The 20482-nt window shown below is 39.5% G+C and overlaps 5 annotated features.

Annotated features, from left to right (window-relative positions):
* Positions 4547-5050: an enhancer, noted in NCBI's record as "OCT4-H3K27ac-H3K4me1 hESC enhancer chr4:122632705-122633208 (GRCh37/hg19 assembly coordinates)". NCBI's record gives its function as "activates a minimal SCP1, AML or CMV promoter by ChIP-STARR-seq in naive and primed H9 embryonic stem cells {active_cell/tissue: H9 hESC(naive and primed)}" and the evidence as "EXISTENCE:reporter gene assay evidence [ECO:0000049][PMID:30033119]".
* Positions 4547-6193: a biological region, named in NCBI's record as "MED14-independent group 3 enhancer GRCh37_chr4:122633152-122634351".
* Positions 4714-4993: an enhancer, noted in NCBI's record as "active region_21867". NCBI's record gives its function as "activates an Ori minimal core promoter by ATAC-STARR-seq in GM12878 lymphoblastoid cells {active_cell/tissue: GM12878}" and the evidence as "EXISTENCE:reporter gene assay evidence [ECO:0000049][PMID:35858748]".
* Positions 4994-6193: an enhancer, noted in NCBI's record as "MED14-independent group 3 enhancer chr4:122633152-122634351 (GRCh37/hg19 assembly coordinates)". NCBI's record gives its function as "activates an origin of replication core promoter dependent on BRD2, BRD4, P300/CBP and CDK7 cofactors, and independent of MED14, by STARR-seq in HCT116 cells {active_cell/tissue: HCT116}" and the evidence as "EXISTENCE:reporter gene assay evidence [ECO:0000049][PMID:35650434]".
* Positions 19883-20062: a silencer, noted in NCBI's record as "silent region_15660". NCBI's record gives its function as "represses an Ori minimal core promoter by ATAC-STARR-seq in GM12878 lymphoblastoid cells {active_cell/tissue: GM12878}" and the evidence as "EXISTENCE:reporter gene assay evidence [ECO:0000049][PMID:35858748]".

Genomic DNA, 20482 nt, shown 5'->3' on the forward strand with positions numbered 1-20482 from the left:
GGACCTCAGTGTAGAACTGGGCTCCATTCTGAATGCATCAGTGATAAGTGCGGATGTATAGTCAGGGAGCAGGGCATTGGTGGATAGAAAATTGCTATGAGGAGACATCAAGGCTGGGGGAATTCTGGCTGAACCAATCTAACAGGATTCCTGCTGAAGGCAGGCCGAGGTGATTAGAGACCAACAATGGTGAGGGAAGAGTTTTGATTAGATATCAAGGATGATTAAGTATTGAGGGTGGGGGATTCTTACTAAACTGCTTTGGCAGTGTTACTTACTAAAACTGGACTTTACAAAGAAGTGCACACGTGGGCCTAGGAGAACGTTCGAAAGCCTAACTAAAGTTTGGCCAAGCAAAGAATCTTTGTCAGTCATCAGCATTTCTTATCCAGTCTTGATTCAATATGTCCCTGCTCAGCTCTTTCCCCATGCCTCATGACATTAGTTTTAACCTTTCACTGTTATCCTTCAGATCCCAGCCCTCACCTTTTCCCCCAGCAGGTGGCCTTAACTCTGACTCAACATACTTGCCCTGGTTTTTCATCTTACACCTACAAACTCATCTTTGCCCACACTCATTCTTACCTCCTTCTTTCTTGCTCAAAGGGTGAGAGGCCCCTCTTCCTGCCTAAGGTTTAAGGTTTATCCTCCAAGGTTATGATTTTTGTTTTTCTTTTGAGACAGGCTGGAGTGCAGTGGCACCATTTTGGCTCACTGCAACCTCTACCTCCCAGGTTCAAGTGGGCCTCCCTTCTCAGTCTCCCGAGTAGCTGAGACTACAAGCGTGTACCACTACACCTGGCTGATTTTTTTGTATTTTTTGTAGAAACAGAGTTTTGCCACATTGCCCAGCCTGGTCTTGAGCTCCTGAACTAAAGCAATCCACCCACCTCGGCCTCCCAAAGTGCTCAGATTACAGGTGTGAGCCACCATGCCTAGCCCAGGATTATGATCTTGATCTCACACGTATTTAAAACTTTTCTGTCCACTAGCTTCTTCCTTTCCGCCCAAATTAGCAAACCTGTTTAAGCCAGGACCCTTTTAGCCACAAGTGAAAGAAACCCAAATCAAGCTAGCTTGGGTAAAAAGTGTGTCTAGCAAGATCCTTAACGATAAGCAGCAGAACCCATTCTAACTATTTCAGCAAAAAAATTATTAAAGGACTATAGGTAGCTCATACAATTTCTGAAAGGATCAGAAAATCTGGCTTGGTGGCCATGTAGGCTGGACAATGCCCAAATCACACTGCCAACCTCTCCAGTGAAGAGGCCACCATGACTGGCACCACTGATGGGGCATCCCCACATTAAGTTCACAGAAATTTTGAAAACCAACAACAGAAATAAAGAAAAATTGTGAAGGGAATTGTGATGACCTGCTCAGAGCTCTCTGTCTCATGTTCCTTTCTCATAGGCCAGTGACCAGCTTTCTGCTTGTGGCAAGAATACAGCCATAGTTAGCTCAGTCTTTCATTCCACTAGCTCCACAAAAGCCACCTTTCCAAAGCTCAACTTCAAAAAATCAGATTGAAGCAGCAAGGTCACAGACCCCAGTGGCAGCCCCCACCCACATGATCTAGTGGAACATCTCCTGGAAAAATTTTTCATCAGCAATCTGGATCTGCTAAAAATCTGTTAACTTGAAGTATGAAGTAAAATGAAGCATTTCCTGCCTCTGTAAATCAGGGTTTCTCAACCATGGCACTATTGACATATTGACCTGGATAATTCTTTGTTGGGGAATGGGGGTAGGGTAAGGGTAGCTTTCCTGTCCATTGCAGGATGTTTAGCAGCATCTTCAGCCTCTACTCACTATTCACCATTAGTACCCTCCCTCTCCAGTTGTGACAAACAACAGTGTCTCCCAACATTGCCCAATGTACTCTGCTAAGCAAAATCACCTGCATCTGAGAACCATGTCACCCAGCCTGCAGTGGCCTGACCATAACAAACCACACTTCCAAACCCGCATCTCCAGCTCAGACCTCTCTCCTGAGCTCTAGGCTGATATATCTACCTGCTTGCTACTCATGTCTCAACCAAGATATCCCATAGCTAACTCAAACATGCCCAAATCTAACTCATCATTTTTCCTCCAAGACTAGCTTTTTCCCCGCAGTTCCTGTCCTGGTTAAAGATATCACTGTTGATCAGTCATCCGTACCAGAATCTTGGCAGTATTCTGGATCCTTCATCTTTCTTCACCTCTCCCTCTCCCATCACCACATCTAAAGAAGTAGATTCTAACAACACCTTTCTTAGCTTGTATTAGCCTCCTCCTACCCAATTGTAAGTTTCCTGCAAGTTTTCTGCTGGGCTCTTAATTTCTCCTCTCTCTCTAATTTACTTTCCAAATTGCTTTAAGATTTACTTTTTTCTAAATGCAAATATGAACATGTCATTCCATACTTCAAATTAACAGATTTTTAGCAGATCCAGATTGCTTGTGAAAAATAGTCGAGACTCTTTAGCAAGGTATACAATGACCTTCCTGAACTTTTCCATGTCCCTCTCTCCAAACTTACTTTACCTCTGCTTTCTTGCTGAGAAACTACATAAAAATCCCTGGTTTTGGCCGGTCACAGTGGCTCATGCCTGTAATCCCAGCACTTTGGGAGGCTGAGGTGAGTGGATTACGAGGTCAGGAGTTCGAGACCAGCCTGGCCAACATGGTGAAACCCCATCTCTATTAAAGATACAAAAAATTAGCTGGCCGTGGGGGCGCGTGCCTATAATCCCACCTACTTGACAGACTGGGTCAGGAGAATCACTTGAACCCAGGAGGCAGAGGTTGCAGTGAGCCGAGATCACGCCATTACACTCCAGCCTGGGCAACAGGGCAAGACTCTGTCTTAAAAAAAAAAAAAAATTCCTGGTGTTGCATTTGCTATCTCCCCTGCCTGCTCCAACACCCTCTCCCCAACTCCTACATTCTCTTAGTTCACCTGGTGAACTCCTACTCCTGCTTCAAAACCTACTGCAACCATCTTCTCTTAATTTTTTTCTTTCTCATAAGGCTCCTCCTTGACCAAGTGTCCCAATATCTTAACGGCAAGCTGAAAAACCAGGACCACAGCCACCTGCTAGTTTGCTCTTGAATTCCTGTCCTACAGAAATTGTGAGATTAAAAAAAAAAAAAAAAAAGTTTACTGTTTTAAACCACCAAATTTGAGATGATTTGTTACAGAACAATAGATGACTAATCCAAAGTTTGCTTACAGGGGTCAACATGACTGATATTCTAGACCCAAGTTTCAAGTTTAGGGTGCTCAGTGTTCCTAACTCAAGCTTCACTTGGGTTTTGAATAAAACCCATGACCTATTTTTATTTCTGTTTCATTTTGAAACACAGTAAAAATAATTACAGTAAGGAATGTTTTGAGTGAATTATCTAATCAATATTCGCAAAGTAATATGCAAAGGAAGAGTTCTGAAGAAAATATTTTTACTTATTATTTAAAGTCTCAGGATAGGGATTGAAAGAGCATTAAAACATAGTCTCCTTTGACCTTCAGATTTTTATCTTGAGTCTATAGGATGTAAACAGAGAATCTAACTCCAATTTTTTAGATAATCTGCTAGGAATGTATTTTTGATTTCAGGAAGAAAACTCTCCACTATGTAAAAATCTTCTAAACTTTTCTATACAGTTTACTCATTTTAAAAATTTGTTTGTAGAAACAACTGAAACGTTCATCGAAGAAGAATAAATACATTGTGGTTTATTTATATAATGGAATGATGTCCAGCAGCAAAAAAAGAACACAACAGCATGGAATAATCTCAAAAACGTGTTCAGCAAAAGAAGCAGGACAGAAGAAAAACCATTCTGTCTGATTCCATCTACACGAATTTCAAGAACAGGAAAACTAAGCTATGATAATAGAAATCAGAATTAGCTGTTTTGGGGGGATGGAAGGCTTTGGGGAGTTTTGAGGGTGAGGTTGACTAAAAGGGGGAGCAACAAAACTTCCTGAGATAATGGAAAGGTTCTATATCTTGATATGGATGATGGTTACATGAGTGTATGTATTTGTCAAATTTCATCAATTACAGTTTGTTATAATTTATGTTTATTAATTAAATTAAACATTAATTCATGCTTATTAATTAAATTAAACTTATTGATTAAATTATGTTTATTATTTATTGTTTATAAACAATAAATTTATGTACGTATAATATAAATAAATTTATGTATGTATAATATAAATAAATTTATGTATGTATAATATAAATAAATTTATGTATGTATAAGTAAAATATATTATTTCAATAAATATTTATTATAAATACTTATGTTTATTTTACCTCATGGAAATTTTACCTTAATCTAAAAAAGACAACATGAAAAAATAGTATGTAATACTAAAATCAAATCATGTTTCCCTATTGAAAGGCAAACACTCTTTGAGAAGACATAAACAGGGCATTCAGAACATCAAATAGAAAGAGCTTCCACCATCACACAAGTGAAACAAAATCAGTATTTCCAAATATTTTTCAGAAACTACCTTTGGGAAGAGTAAACCTCAGCTATTGGAGCCATGATAAATACCCACTGATTCTGAGCACAAGCCCTGTCCTCTCTCCAGCTGGATTTGGTAGGAAAATCACGATCCAGCTTGCCTCACTCCTGAGCCTTTGCTCTGAACGGAGCGCACTCACAGTGCGGGGTCTGGGCCTCCCGGCTGCGAGGCGGCCGGCAAGGCAGAGCCCAGGAGATGAGTAAGCGGCAGTGGGCGGGAGTCACAGCGGTCCGCGGGTGACTCAGCGTCCAGGAATCCCAGGGGGCCAGAAAGAAGATTTTGGCAAAGAAAGGAGGCCAGAGGAAAAAAAACCACATTGACAAGGCCTCACAGCTGCCGGAGGGACAGATGTAAGCTGCTGCTGGGACAGAAGGGGAGCGACTGGCAGCCTTAGACAAGACTGGGGAAGGCCAGGGGCCTCTGCATGACAATACAGGGCAGCAACTGGGAACGAAGGAATCGCTATCTGGCCCGATGTGGGGAGAACAGAAAAAGTGAAAACGGTGGGGCCACTGAGGCAGAAGGCATCATGTGGGGAGGAAATCATTTTGTAAAGAATTTGAGCATCTACCAATGAAATACAGACACCAGATTCCTCACCTGGTCTCTAGGATCGCTCTTGCCCTGCAGCTGAACAATCTTTATGATTCACCTTCTTCTCAGGATGAAGTCCATCATCAGGATCATGGTTTATGACTCCTTTATCATTTCTCCTACATCACAGAGAGAGTCCCTTCAGAGATACTGAGTTTGTTTGGAAATGTGCAGGGGATTTGCAAATCTGGGATATGCGAGCTGTGGGGCCCAAAAGTACATCCAAAGACAATGAGGGAAAGCTTATAAAACCAAAAGAGAAAAGTAGACGTAATTTGTTTTGAGGCAAAGAGAACACTGCTTACAGGGGCTTATGGCAGGAGTTGATTCCAGTTCATTAGTGGAGACAGTGTCCAGCAAGTGTTCTTGTGCATCTGGCTAGCTAGTTTGAGAAGTCCTTGGAAAATAAAACAGAATGAGATCATGTCCTTTTCAGGAACACGGATGGAAATGGAGGCCATTATCCTTAGCAAACTAATGCAGGAACAGAAAACCAAATACTGCATGTTCTCGCTTATAAGTTTGGGAGCTAAATGATGAGAACTCAGACACAAAGAAGGGAACAGACACTGGAGCCTACTTGAGGATAAAGGACGGGAAGAGGAAGAGGATCAGAAAAAATAACTATTGGGTATTAGGCTTACTACCTGGGTGACGAGATAATCTGTATAACAAACCGCCATGAATGAGTTTACCTATATAACAGATCTTCACATGCACTCCTGAACTTAAAAAAAAAAGTTAAAAAAAAGTCCTTTTTATAGGAATACGTGCATAAGACCCCCTTCAGAAAGTCTTTGTAATCGTTCTTATCATAAGCATGTGTGCCTGAGAACCTTCCCTTCTCAGCCTCTTGGCCATATTTGTTAGAGTTTGGCACAAGTGACTCCATTTTGATTCTGACGACTTTAACACATCAATTCCCCTTACCTTCTTAGAGAATTTCATCTCCACCACATCCTGGCCCACCCCCAGTCCCAGTATGTTTCTCTCAGGTTGTAGCTTATAGGTCTTTGCCTTGTTCAGAAGCCTTTCCTTACCAGCCCCCCTAATTTGGATTAGGTACTTTTCTATGGATTATCTAGCACCACATACCTTCTATGGTACCTTCCTCTAAGCTTTGCCATAGGATATTATGGTTGCCTATTAATTTTTTAACTATGAAATATTTAAAACTATAGAAATGTAAAGGTATTTTGCTACCAATTAAACCTTGTTACAATTAAATACCTTGTTAATGAAACCAATTTTAAAAATAGAGGAATAAAATATTAAAGACACAGAATGTTAGCATTGGTATTCCTGTACATATATTTGTTACTTATATATCTAATCATATACAAATATAGTATTGCTTGATTTCAAATTTAATACAATTAGACATGGCATGCACTATACATGCTCTTTAGCTATTTTTGTCACTCTACATTGTGTTTTGACACATTAATGAAGAAATTTAGACTACAAGAACAAATTGTAAAAGTAAAAGAAAAACTAATAAATTTGACTACACTAAAATGTAAAACTCTGAACATCAATATGTTACATAAATGAAGTTAAGAGTTGCAGAATGTAATTACTTCTTTTTAAAATATATTACTCTATTAAAGATATTCATTTCATAATTTTAAAAGTCAAAATTTTTTTTACCATGTTAGCAATAAAAAAAAAAGTCTCTTGTCTTACCCCCACTAACTTCCATTCTCCAGAAGCAAAAATTTTTTAATTCTTTTAACCATTTTTTCTGGACTTGACCTCTATATTTTTAAATAACATGATTATGTTGACTTTTTTAGAATATTATCTATCGACTCCATACCATTAAAGATAATGATTTAGCTTTCCTCTGTCTGTCTCTTTCTCTCTCTCCATCATTTCAATAGTTATAGTTTCTGGTTGGAGCAATATTCAGTGCTTACATCACCATGATTACATAAATATAATTCACAGAAGATCCATGTTAATGTCCTCTGATTTCACTCTCTTTCATCTATAACTTTTTTCCTTATTTCCACTACTCTCATTGGTTTCATGTGCTGGAGACCTACAACTTACTTACCTCTAAATACAACCTTAAAAGAAGAATTTCTTTAATGCCTTCAAATTCAACAGGCAATACACACACATACGTGCGCACACACATATGTGTGTATGCATTTTCCTCTAGAGACATCCCTTCTAAAGCATTCTCTGGCCTGGTGCAGTGTCTCACACCTGTTATCCCAGCACTTTGGGAAGCAGAGTGGGGAGAATTGCTTGAGCCCAGGAGTTTAAGACCAGCCTTGGCAACATAGCAAGACCCCGTCTCTACAAAAAAAATTAAAAAATGATCTGGGTGTGGTGGCATGCACTGACAGTCCCAGCTACTCAAGAGGCTGATGTGGGAAGATCACTTGAGCCTGGTAGGTTGAGGTTTCAGTGAGCCGTGATCATGGCACTTCTGCCTGGGCAACAAAACAAGACCCTATCTAAAGAAAAATAAAAAATAAAAAATAAATTTAAAAAAAGCACTCTCTTAACCTCTCTGGTCGAGTTGTTCTATTATCGGCCACCAGCTTTCCAGTTGGGACTTCCCATCATTGTTATTGTGGACATAGGATGACAAAGCTATTCCCATTTGCCAGGAACTGTGCCAATTTCATAACCCAGATCTGGCAGTCCCTAAGGTTAAGGCAAACTGCAACAATCGGTCAATGTATCTGGACAGTTCCCTGTTTCCTAGATCCTATGTTGTATTCTTCCTGGTTTATTGCCTCAGTTTGTGGAATCCATGCTCTAATATTTTCCTGAAAAATAATAAAAAGGACATAATTTTTTTAAAAAACATGCATGTCAGAAATATTTTTAATATGCCTTCATATGTGTTAGAAAATTTGGCAAGGAATAGGAATCAAGATTTGAAGTCATTTTCCATCTGAATTTCAAAGATATGGCTGCACTGGCTTCTAGCTTTCCCGTGTGGCAGGTGAGAAGTCTGGTATCTTTCCACTTCTGGGTCTTTTGAATATCTGGGTACTTGTAGGCTCTTTTCTTTATCTCCAAGGTTCTGAAATTTCTCATGGCATGCCTTTGTGTGTTTTTGTTTTTTATGCATTATGCAGGGCACAAAGTGAGCTCTCTCCATCTATAAACTCATGACTTCTGTTCAGGAAAAATGTTTTTGCTTATTTCTGTGAAAATATCCTACCCTATCTTTTTATAATCTCTCTTTCTGGAACTCCTGCTTATTTAGGTGTTGAGCTTCTTGAACTCTACTATTTTCCTTTTCTCTTCTATTTTTCATTTCTCTATTTTTGATTGACTTTCTGGATTTTTCCCAATTTCCCTTCCAGACTTTCTTCTGAAATTTTGGTTCATTTGTTCATTTGTTTGTTTTTATGTTTTCTTCTGGTCCACACGTAGCTGCTATTTTCTTGAAGATTCAGTTCTGTTATGACATAGGCCTTCCTTAATTGTCTGGTGATCCTTGGCTGTCTGCTTATATTTAAAACAAGGCAATAAAAAAGTGACAGGAACAGACTGACACTTATTCTTGTAAGGTGATTTGGCAAGGTTGTTTTATTGTTTGTTGTTTGTTTATTTGTTTTAGTTTTTGTTTTCAGCTAGCTTCCCACAGAGAACTCAACTACGACTCCCACCTGAGAAGTAAGTTTGGCTGCCAATTCATTTCTTTTACTGACTTGCAACTAATCTTCCCATTTTCAGGACTACCTGTACCCCTTATGTTAATATTTCTAAGTAGTTCTGAGATTCCATAGTTCAAAGCAGCCTTCACCTCAGCTTTCTCTGGTGTGTTGAGTCAGTTTTACCACTACTCCATTTGCTTTCTAGTTTCCAAAATTCTACTGCTTCTATCTTGTCTACATAGAGGTATTTTGTGTAAGTATTTCAGTTTTGTCTTTATAGCTTTGTGTACTTCATTGTTCCTTTTCTGTAATTCTGGGAAGGAGGGTCAGTGGACATATGTTCACTCAGCCATGTTTAGCCAGAAGTCGTGAAATCACCTCTTTTTTTGTCAGTATGTATTTCTTGTTAGATTTGAAGCTAACTGAGGTGAGGTGAAGACCATAACTAGATCATTATTGCAGTCTAGCATCCAGCATAATGCCTGGCATATGTTAGGACCTCAATAAGTAAGGTTTTATTGAATGAATACACATATAGCACAATGATATTTTTTTAATATTAACCAGTGTCTGGCTTTGTTTTTCTCTCCAGCATTTTATTTTCCCCTTTTCAGCTAATCTATTATCGTTGTTTCAGAGAACACATAGAACAATAAAAAGCAAATTATTCTTCTATCCTGAGTTTCAAAAGCTTAAGTCTTTAGGAAAATTGAAAGGATTCATGGCATAGAGGAAATACTGAGGCAAAGCATTATGATAACATTGTGAAGCATACCTGTACCATGCCCCTAGAACTAGAAGACTGACCTGAAATAGAATCAGAGCTTAGCACCAGGGGAGCAGCAAAGTCCTGCTGAAAAAATGGTTAGTGTGCCTAGGCGATTGAGACCAGTTTCTCCCTCTAGAATGGCACAGGTGCAGCAGAAAGTTTCCTTCGAATTTAAGAATAAAAACAAGGTAAACAGAGAATTCCAGAGGATCTAAAGGAGCCTCCTAGATAGGAATTAATGTCAAGAAATGCCCGAATGGACTGCTCAGTGAGGAAACATTGCATTGCCCATGTCAATGGATGCAACACTATCCTAGTCCATTTAGTGCTACTTCAACAGGATACCTGAGACTGGGTAATTCATGAACAGAAACTTATTTATTGGCTCACAACTGAAGGCTGGGAAGTCCAAGATTAAGGAGCCACATCTGGTGAGAGCCTTCTTGCTGCAGAAGACATCATGGTGGTGAGAGAGAGATCAAGAGAAGGCCAAGCTCACTTTTACAACTAACCCACTACTGCAATAATGACACTAATCCACACATGAGGGCAGAGCCCTCATGACCTACTCACTTTTTAATGGTTCCGCCTCTCATCACTGTTGCATTGGGGATTACATTTCCAGCATATAAACTTTGGGGGACACATTCAAATTATAGCAAACATGACAGGTGACACTGAGCATAAGATCCTTCCCCAGTCTGATGCCTTGGCACTATGTAAGCCCCTTGGTTCTTAAATGAAATCCTTGGGAAATCCCAAAATTGACTGAGATTTATTTTCCGTCACCCAAGTAAAATGAAAGCTCAATATTGAAACAAAATATAGTTATTAAAATATTAATATAAAATTATATTTCCCCAACATTTCTATTGGTTAGTTGAAATTTGTATACACTATACAATATGGTAATTCTGACTCCCAGAGACTTATTTTAAAATTCATTTAAAAAAACTTATACAACAAGTATTTACACAACAAATGACCAAATATTTTTTATATAGGAACATGCCATATTAAAGTAGAGATTTATACTTGTGAATGACATACCAAAAAACACCAAAGACATGGTTAGTAGAACAAGTAGATTTGGGGGATTTTTAAAATAATATTTGTAATCTTAACAAAGTAATAAGGAAATACAGAAACATCTGTCAGGAATGTATATTGGGACCTCCCCTTTCAGCTGAGATGAAGGTCATTGCTCTCACTGAGACAACTAGAAAAGCTGGATAATATACACAAAATAGCATCTATTTGAAGTCATTGAAGAAGCGATGAGGAAACTCAGACTTGGGCAACAAGTCCTGGAGAATGAGAAAACTTAGAGAGGAATGTCGACATTTTATAACTGATTTTTCCTTTGGGGCATTTGCTAGTTCAGAGTACTTGGCAAGAGGGAAAGAATCCAGGCAACAGACTTGGGCAGAAGGCCTCTAAGAGGCAGTAAAGACAGCCGAATTTTTGGTTCCAGTTTTGGGGACTGGAAAAATCCAAATCTCATGAGGCTGGAAACCCAATGAGAAAGGTTAATGGACACTTGACACTGTTTTCCTATCAAAATATTTGCCAAATTCTGAGGCTGCATGGAGCAGGACATTAAGCAACTAAGCAAAAAGTGTCTGAATACAGCAGAGGTTTTGCAATCTTAAAAGGCTCGCCAAGAGGAAAGGGCCTCAGTGAACACCCCAGGTTCTCAGGGGGAACTCTAGGAGAGCTACTCTCTAGGAACAGGGATGAATCTGAGATGGAAAAGAGACTCTCAAAAACAGTAATGTACAGTATGACATTCTGGAAAAGGCAAAACTATGGAGACAGTAAATAGATCAGTAGCTGCCAGGGGCTTGAGGTAGGGAGGGATGAGTAGGAGGAGCACAGAAAATTTTTAGGGCAGTGAAAATACTCTTTATGATACTATGATGGTGGACACATATCTCTTTTCATTTGTCAAAACCCATAAAATGCACAGTACCAAGAGTGAACCCTACTGTAAACTATGAACTTTGGATGATAATGGTGTGTTGATGTAGATTGATCAATTGTAAAAAATACACTTCCCTGGGGTGGGATATTGATAGTAAGGGAGGTTGCGGGGGGTTGACAGGGAATATATGGGAACTCTATAAGTTCTACCCAATTTTGCTGTGAACCTAAAACTGCTCTAAAAAAAAAAGTCTAGTTTTAAAAAATCTATATCACAGTCTGGAATTGGTTCTGTCTCACTGGGTTCAGGTGATCAGCTCCCTAGCAGAGGATGAGGTAGGGCATCTCTGGAGGAATCTATTACCCCAAAGCTTTTATAATTTAAATAATACAATGTCTGGCATTGAATCAAAATTAGCAGGCATTCCAGGAGTTAGAAACAATTTCTAAAAACCAAGAGGAAATATCTAAAAACCAAGGGGATGATCTGATTCAGATATTTCAGTTATCAAAAAAACTTTAAGTATGATTAATATATTCAGAAAAAAATAGATAAAATGAGTGTCTATCATTACTTAAAACTAAATATAGGCATGAATTGTGGAGCATAACATATATCAAAAAGGTAATAATAACAATATTTCACATTTGTTGAAGGCTCATTTTATGCCAGACATTGCTCTAAGTGACTCTGATTTCCCACAACAGTCCTGTAAAATAAACACTATTGTGGTGCCCACTTTACAAATGAGGAAACCGAGGTACAAGATGGTTAAATAAATGCTTATAGTTAAATGACTAATAGATGGTAGAGCTAGAATTTGAACTCGGACAGTCCAATCCCAGAGTTCTCACTGTTAATCATGATATTATATGGTGCATGTATCTTACACAACTACAAGAGCCATAGGTCGATAATGTTTTGATTAAAGAGATGTAAAAAGTTTGACAATTAAAATTGTTATTATTATTATTTTTGAGACAGGATTTCACTCTGCCACCCAGGCTGGAGTGCAATGGCATGATCACGGCTCACAGCAGCCTCAACCTCCCCGGCTCAAGCAATCCTCCCGCCTGAGACCTCCCAAGTAGCTGGGAATACAGGTACACACCACCATGCCTGGCTCATTTTTCTATTTTTTTGTAGAGACAGGATCTCACTATATTGCCTCAGCTAGTAGAACTCCTAGGCTCAAGCGATCCTCCCACCTTGGCCTCCAAAATGCGGGATTATAGGCATGAACTGTGCCCAGCCTTAAAATTATTTTGGTCACTAAATTTTGTTCTGTTTTTCTCATGGCCCCAAACTATGTGAATGTGAAATAGTTCCAATTTAGCCTAAATTGTGTAGAAATATATTTTTATGTAATTTAGGCTATTAATTGCCCAATAATGTTTGCTTGTACATATGAAAGATTGAGAAGAAATGTATCTAATTTTAAGTAGACTAAAAATAGAAAATAAAAACATGCTTGTAAAATTTGACCAAAAACAGTGTTCAATATTAACCACCACCTAAGCGGCTTTTATAAACTTCTGCCTGGACAGTCTCTAATTATTATAATTGCCACCTGTGGATTTTTAGCTGCAGACCTACACAGTTAATTCATTTATCTAACCTGTGGGTAGGGAACTTTGACAGAGAATTCCACCCCACTGTAGATCTCTACTCTTCTCAGCAGGACTCCCTGAATAAAGAAAGTCTTCCTTCTCTGACACACATGGTTCTTGTTGACAGACACACATACCTGGTTCACCACTTTACCAGATAAACATTTAAGGAATGTATTTGAAATGACAGTGGACTCAAAGGCAGGAATCGCCTTCCTGCCCCAACTCCCTTCCCCAACATCTTTTTGCTGCCAGAAAAATCTACCATTAAATTTGATTTCCCCAAGTCTCTTCTATACAGATAAATCAAGCATTTGTCATCATACTTGCCTTAGTATGAATCAATGAATTGACTCAATCTCATAGGCAACTAGCTGTGGTCAGGGACATGATGAAGTTTGAGTTTGGGATGCAGTAAGCACAGCCATGAGTTTTTGAACATAAACTACTTAGTTGCGATGTTATGAAGATAAGAATGTAACCTCCCTCTTAGGATTGCTGTGAGGATTGCATGAGAATAATGAGCATAAAAATGCTTAAGATAGTTTTAGACACCCAGTAGGTGCTCAATAAAGTATAACTTTTTTTTGAGATAGGGTTTGTCTCTGTCATCCAGACTGGAGTACAGTGGCGCAATCATGGCTCACTGCAGCCTCGACCTCCTGGGCTCAAGCAATCCTCCCATCTCAACCTCTCAAGTGGCTGGGACTGCAGGTGCACTTCACCACACCCAGCTAGTTTTTGTATGTTTTAGTAGAGATGGGGTTTTGCCACATTTTTCAGGCTGGTCTCAAACTCCTGGCCACAAGTGATCCACCCATCTTGGCCTCCCAAAGTGCTGGGATTACAGGGGTGAGCCACCTCGCCTGGCCAATGATAACTTTCATAATTAATTATAATGACTTTGAAAATGATTTAAAAAATTTTAAGGAACCAAATATACTTTAAAAGAACTGGCAAGGTGATTGTGGTAGTAGTTCTGAATAAAATGTAATGAAAGAAAAAATTAGTCCAACTCACAGAGTTAGTTTTTGTTTTCGAACATCACTTTTTGCTGCTTTGAATGATGTGCAAAAGACTTAGAAACATCTTGTGATCAAATTGTTTAGCACACATATCTTGTGGAATCAGAATATCAGGTTTATAGTTAAGATTGTCTCTCTCTCCATTTATTAAATGATTTGTAATCTCTTCATATCTCTGTTTATTAAATAATCTTATTGCTATGGTTTGAATGTTTGTGTTCACTCTAGAATTCATGTTGAAATTTAATCCTCAATGCAACAGTATTAAGAGGTGGGGCCTTTAGGAAGTGATTAAATCATGAGGGCAGACCCTCATAAATGGGATTAGCAACCTTATAAAAGGGCTGTAGGGAGACAGCAAGGCCTTTTTTGCTCTTCTACCATGCGAGGACACAGCATTTGTCCCCTCTGGAAGACAGAGCAATGAGGCCCCATCTTGGAAGCAGAGAGAAGGCCTCTACTAGACACTGAACCTGCCAGCACCCTGATCTTGGTCTTTTCAGCCTCCAGAACTGTGAGAAATAAATGTCTGTTGTCTATAAATTATCCAGTCTAAGGTATTTTGTTAGAGCAGCAGGAATTATCACCTAACATAATGCCCACTCACACAGGGTTAGGTACACTATTGCTTTTCTGATATGAAAATTATCTTGTTGACTCAGTATCAGCAGGATGTGTCCATTGAGCTATTTTCCCAATAACAACGTGGAGTGTACATATAACTAGCATTTTCTCACTGAGTTCCCTTTGTGACCAGGAGTAAACCTTTGCCAGCTTGTTAAAAAGTTTTATAGCTGCAGTTTGGCTACCAATAAAAAATAAGCTAATTGTCTCATGGGATGCAAGAACTTGGGAGTTTGCCTCATTAGCACTGTGTTTCAGCCAACCTAGCTTCTCAAAATGATTCCCCTGGGCTAGTTTTCCAGTTAGCCTTGTGTATGATATCAACTTTTACTGTTACCTGAGAAGTATGTTATCTATGGATTAGTGTGCTTGGAGAGAGAACTGAAAAGGCAGAAGCCTATTTGAACCAGGATGCCACGTGGGGTGGAGGACTGGCTAGAGTCGTCCATGAGCTTCTGATTGCTGGTTAGTGGCCCTGTCACTTACCAGCTGTGTAACCTTGAGCAAGTCATTCACTAGCATCTCAGCTTTTCTCACAGGATAAACAATATTGTTAAAGTGAGGGGTCTTTAAATTCCCCTTCTCACCCTAATACTGTTTTACTCTTACCTCTGAAAGATGAAAATGAATTTGAAGATCTTTTGTTTGTTATTAAGAGGCACCATTTTCAAAGGCTAAGATGATAACTACATATTTAGAGGAAAAAATTTTAATAAATTTAGATTACACAGACTAGTGGAAACAAAATTAAAATCAACTAATTTCTCAAGAGTCACACTGAAGTGTACCTTTAAGCTGAAATGAACAGGCCGGGCGTGGTGCCTCATGCCTGTAATCACAGCACTTTGGGAGGCTGAGGTGGGTGGATTACTTGAGGTCAGAAGTTCAAGACCAGCCTGGCCAACATGGTGAAACCCTGTCTCTACTAAAAATACAAAAATTAGCCGAGTGTGGTGGCACACACCTGTAATCCCAGCTACTCGGGAGGCTGAGGCAGGAGAATCACTTGAACCCAGCAGTCAGCCAAGATCACGCCATTGCGCTCCAGCCTGGGTACAGAGCGAGACTCTGTCTCAAAAAAAACAAAACAAAACAAAACAAAAAGAAGTGAAATGGAATGACCCTACAAATAAATATAGCCAACTGATTTTTGACAAAAGCAAAAGTACAAGAGCAATTCAATGGAGAAAGGATATTCTTTTCAACAAATAGTGCTACAATGATTGTAATGTGCAGAAAGAAATGAAACTAGACATAAACTGTATTCATTTCACAAAAATTAATTGAAAATTGATCATAGGAAGTGAAACAGAACTTGCCACTCCTTAAGTGTGGGCTACACATAGTGACACATAGTACAGTATGGAAAGGCAGGAAAAATTGGTCACCTCATGGTAGAAAAACCTGACAAGTACTACCTCAGCCAGGTAATCAAGATCATCACAACAGTGATGTTGTGTTGATATGATACACACCTGATACAATTTGATGCAGATTGTGCTTTACCTCTGTGGTCTTCCTCTATAGAACCCCAGAATCCAGTCTAATCAGGAGAAAAAAAAATCAAACCAGTCACAACTGAGACATTCTACAAAATACCTGACCAATGTTTCTCAAAATTTTCAAGGTTATCAAAAACAAAGGAAGTCTAAGAAACTGTCGTAGCCAAAAGGAACCTAAGGAAACACAATGACAACATAAAATGTTACATCCTGAATAAAGTCCTGGAAAGAAAAAGGACATTTGATAAAAACTAAGGAAATGTGAACAAAAAAGGACTTTGGTTAATAGTGTGTCAATATTAGTTCATTAATTGTGTCATATATACCATAATAATGTAAAATGTTAAGGATGGGGGAACTGGGTGTGAGGTACACAGAACTCTCTGTACTATCACTGCAATGTTTCTGTAAAGCTGAAATTCTTCTAAAAATAAAGTTTATTTTTTAAATATCAGAATTTTTATGTATGTCCAGGTAAAATGTTCACACCAATACCTTTGTTTTGAATTTTTTTCTTTCCTTTTTCATAGTTAATGATATAGCTGTTGCTAGGTGATATAATCCCACCCTTTATTTGGTTCTCCAAGGATCCTTTGATTTTGAAAATAAGTCACCTCCATAAAATTACATATTTAAAGGTAAAATACCACCAACCGACACTAACGAATAAAGCAGCTCACTTTTTGTGTGCGAGCATTTCATCCAAAAAAACAGTAAAAGGCCATGCGCGGTGGCTCACGCCTGTAATCTCAACACTTTGGGAGGCCGAGGCGGGCAGATCACTTGAGGTCAGGAGTTTGAGACCAGCCTGGCCAACATGGTGAAACCCTGTCTCTACTGAAAATACAAAAAAATTAGCCAGGTGTAGTGGCAGACACCTGTAATCCCAGCTACTGTGGAGGCTGAGGCAGGAGAATCGCTTGAACCCGGGAGGTAGAGGTTGCAGTGAGCTGAGATTGTGCCACTGCACTCCAGTCTGGGTGACAGAGTGAGACTCCATCTCAAAAAACAAAAACAAACAAACAAACGGAAACAACAACAAAAAAAACCCCAACAAACCACCGTCTTAATAATAAGAAACAGACACACTTAGAAGCCTCCCTGGTTTGGAGATTATCTTACTCTATAAAATTAAATTATATACAGTGTGTTGAAATAGACAAAAGGCCCTAGCAGGCTGGAGCCTTTATTGAATTGTTCGTTTCTGCTAGGTTACACCTGAACTTACCGCCTATTGAAATTCTCTCCGGGAATGTGACCTGGTACATATTCTGCTACATGTGGTGTTTAGAAACTTGCATTCTGGTCCTAATTGACCCACCAACAAATATCAACAAATATGTAACAATGAGTCTCCACTTTTTTTGTGAACAAATATGGAATTGGATTGAGCTGACTTCTAAGGCTTCTTCCTGTTTTGTGATTGCAGACATGAGGGTAACATTACCACCAGCTGATATAATATGAATTTGTTTTTCAGATTAGCTGGTCTCACCTGGCACAAAGTAGAGTCCTGAGGTGAGAGGGTGTAGGATGGGTAGGAAGAGAAGGGCTGAAGTTTAATCAAGGAAAGAGAAGTCTTAGAAGAGGCCTGACTCCAAGTATTTGGAGGATGGTCATATGGGAAGAGTTAACAGACATGTTCTGGGACATTCCAGAGAACAAGCTTAGGGCCAACCCATAGGTAGGAATGACCCACATATGAACCAGCATAACTCATCTTTCAGGGACAGGGACATAACTCAGTCAAAGACACCCTACAGGAGAGTGGTTCACTGGATTGTGGTGACTTTTCATAGCAGGGGAAGCAGACTCCCACTCACCTGTTTTTTCTGTTTTTAAAATGCGTAAGTTCTTCCTTCTTTCATCTCTTTCCTTCAGCTCTTCCCTTCTTCCAGTAACCCCCATTCACTCCGAGTTTCTGATACCCAGCCCTGCAGGTGTTTTTAGTACAAATATTTTGTCTCTCAGGTGTTTGGGGCAGAGGAAAAAAGATAAGAAGCACTAATCTAGTTCACTTAAAAGCCCTGTGCAATGCTAAGAGTGACTACAACAGAAAGCGTCAGCTCTGTGTAACCCCATCCTTCACAGTCCTCATGTCCCCTGACAGCCTCTCTCTTTGCGGTCTCATCTTCATATCCCTGTGTAATATCTCCTTTCAGAGCACAAGCTATGGAGCTGGGTGTGGTGGATCATGCCTGTAATCCCAGCTACTCAGGAAGCTTATGCAGGAGGATTGCTTGGGCCCAGGAGTTTGAGGTGGGTCTGGGCAACATAGCAAGACCACATCTCAAAAACAACAACAACAGCAACAGCAAAAACCAACAAAACATTGCTTCATAACAAAGGTAGTTTCACCAGGCTTGGAATAAGCCCTTCTTGGTTTCTGGGACAACTCTTTTAAATGCTTAAGACTCTTCCTACACATTTTAACCCAGGTACATAGGAGATCTATGTAAGAAGTCTCCCTTAAATCTACAACATTTTTCGGTGGGGGAAGGCATGCTTTGCCACAGTGCAATATTGGAATCTAGAGGAGCTCATTTCTTCCTTCAGTGGGAAAGCCACAGGCACTAAGCAGATACACCAATGTTCCATCCCTTAAGTGATGTCTTCGTTGAAACCCACAATGCATTACTGACAGACATTCCTGGAACAATGGCTTTTTCTCTGAGACCATAGTTCTCTTCCAGATCATCAGAGGAAATGAAAAGAGCATAGACACATGCCTGGTGAGCAGGCTGCCTGAGAAGCCCTGCCATTTCCCATTTTTCCTAATAACTCAGAAAATAAGCAGTCAGCCAGGCCCGGTGGCTCACACCTGTAATCCTAGCACTTTTGGAAGCCGAGGCGGGAGGATCACTTGAAGTCCAGAGTTTGTGACCAGCCTGGCCAACATGGTGAAACCCCTTCTCTACTAAAAATACAGAAAAATTAGCTGAGCATAGTGGTGGCACCTATAATCCCAGCTACTCTGGAGGCTGAGGCAGGAGAATCGCTTGAACCCAGGAGGGAGAGGTTGCAATGAGCCGAGATCACGCCACTGCACTCCAGCCTGGGCAACAGAATGAGACTCCATCTCATAAAAAAAAAAAAAAAAAAAAAAAGCAGTCAACATAGAAAGTGGCTTCAAGAAGGAAGGACATATCTAAAACTTTTTTTTTCTTACTTCCCCCTGCTCAGAACAAACTTTGAGATCACCATCTCGCAATCTAACACTGACGAAAACACAGTCTTGTAGAACGTGAACGTCAAAACCACAGCACTTTTTTGTTTTTATAGGACAAGTTGAGTATCTGTTTCGTAGTTTATCAGTTTTATTGATCATGAGAACACATATAGCAACTGCCTGGCTTCTAAGTCACATAGTATTTTATTATCTTTCTTTTCTCAGACAAAGAAGATAACTCAAGTAGTAAAATATTGGGCTGAATGACTACCTAAATGATCTCTAAGTAGGTTTCACACTAGACTGATCAGCAGTTACCTGCATCTGACCAGCCACAGCAGCTGCTGGGTACTCATTTCTGTAGCAGGGCCATTTACCTGTTCACTGTTTAGTTCATTCAAGGGGCCCCTTTATCTGTCAGGAGGAAATTAGCCATAGAATCAAGTCCTGCCACATTAGTGCTTCCACTGTACCTAATACTGACCTCTGCTGTTGTTTTAACCACATTACATGGAAGCCATTTATTTACCTATCTGTCTTGACTACTAAGTTGTGAACTCTCTGAGAATTGAAAGTGTGTCTTATTCATCCACTCGGTTTCAATGATTGGTATAAATAACTGCTCAATATGCATTTACTGGATGAATGAACAAACCAACACGCAGCCATCAGACAGTGAGGCCTAGTGGTTAAGAAGATGTGCTCTGGTGGCAAACATCTGTTTTAAAATCCTGGTTCCCCAGTTTCCAACTGTGTGAGTGACACTGAACAATTTCTTAATCCATTTGCACCTCAGCCTGTTAAGGGGGGTTAATATTAGAACTTTTTTCACAGTACTGTTGAGTTAGTATATACGAAGCATGTAGAAAAATGCAAGCACACTAATGTTTAGTATATGTTCACTGTGGTTGCTATTGTTATGAATATGATCATTATTACTAGGCAAAAATAATACCCCTATTAAGAACACTAGAAGAATTTAATACGTGAGTTCACGGCTCTTTGCACCAGAGCCTCTGATAGTGAAAAGGCAAGCCAGATACTACCACACAGTGGAGAAAGATGTTTAAAATGTGCTTTGTCCTGGCTATGTAGTGGCTTATGCCCGTAA

Source organism: Homo sapiens, chromosome 4, assembly GCF_000001405.40.
Source record: "Homo sapiens chromosome 4, GRCh38.p14 Primary Assembly".
In the NCBI taxonomy this organism is placed as follows: domain Eukaryota; kingdom Metazoa; phylum Chordata; class Mammalia; order Primates; family Hominidae; genus Homo; species Homo sapiens.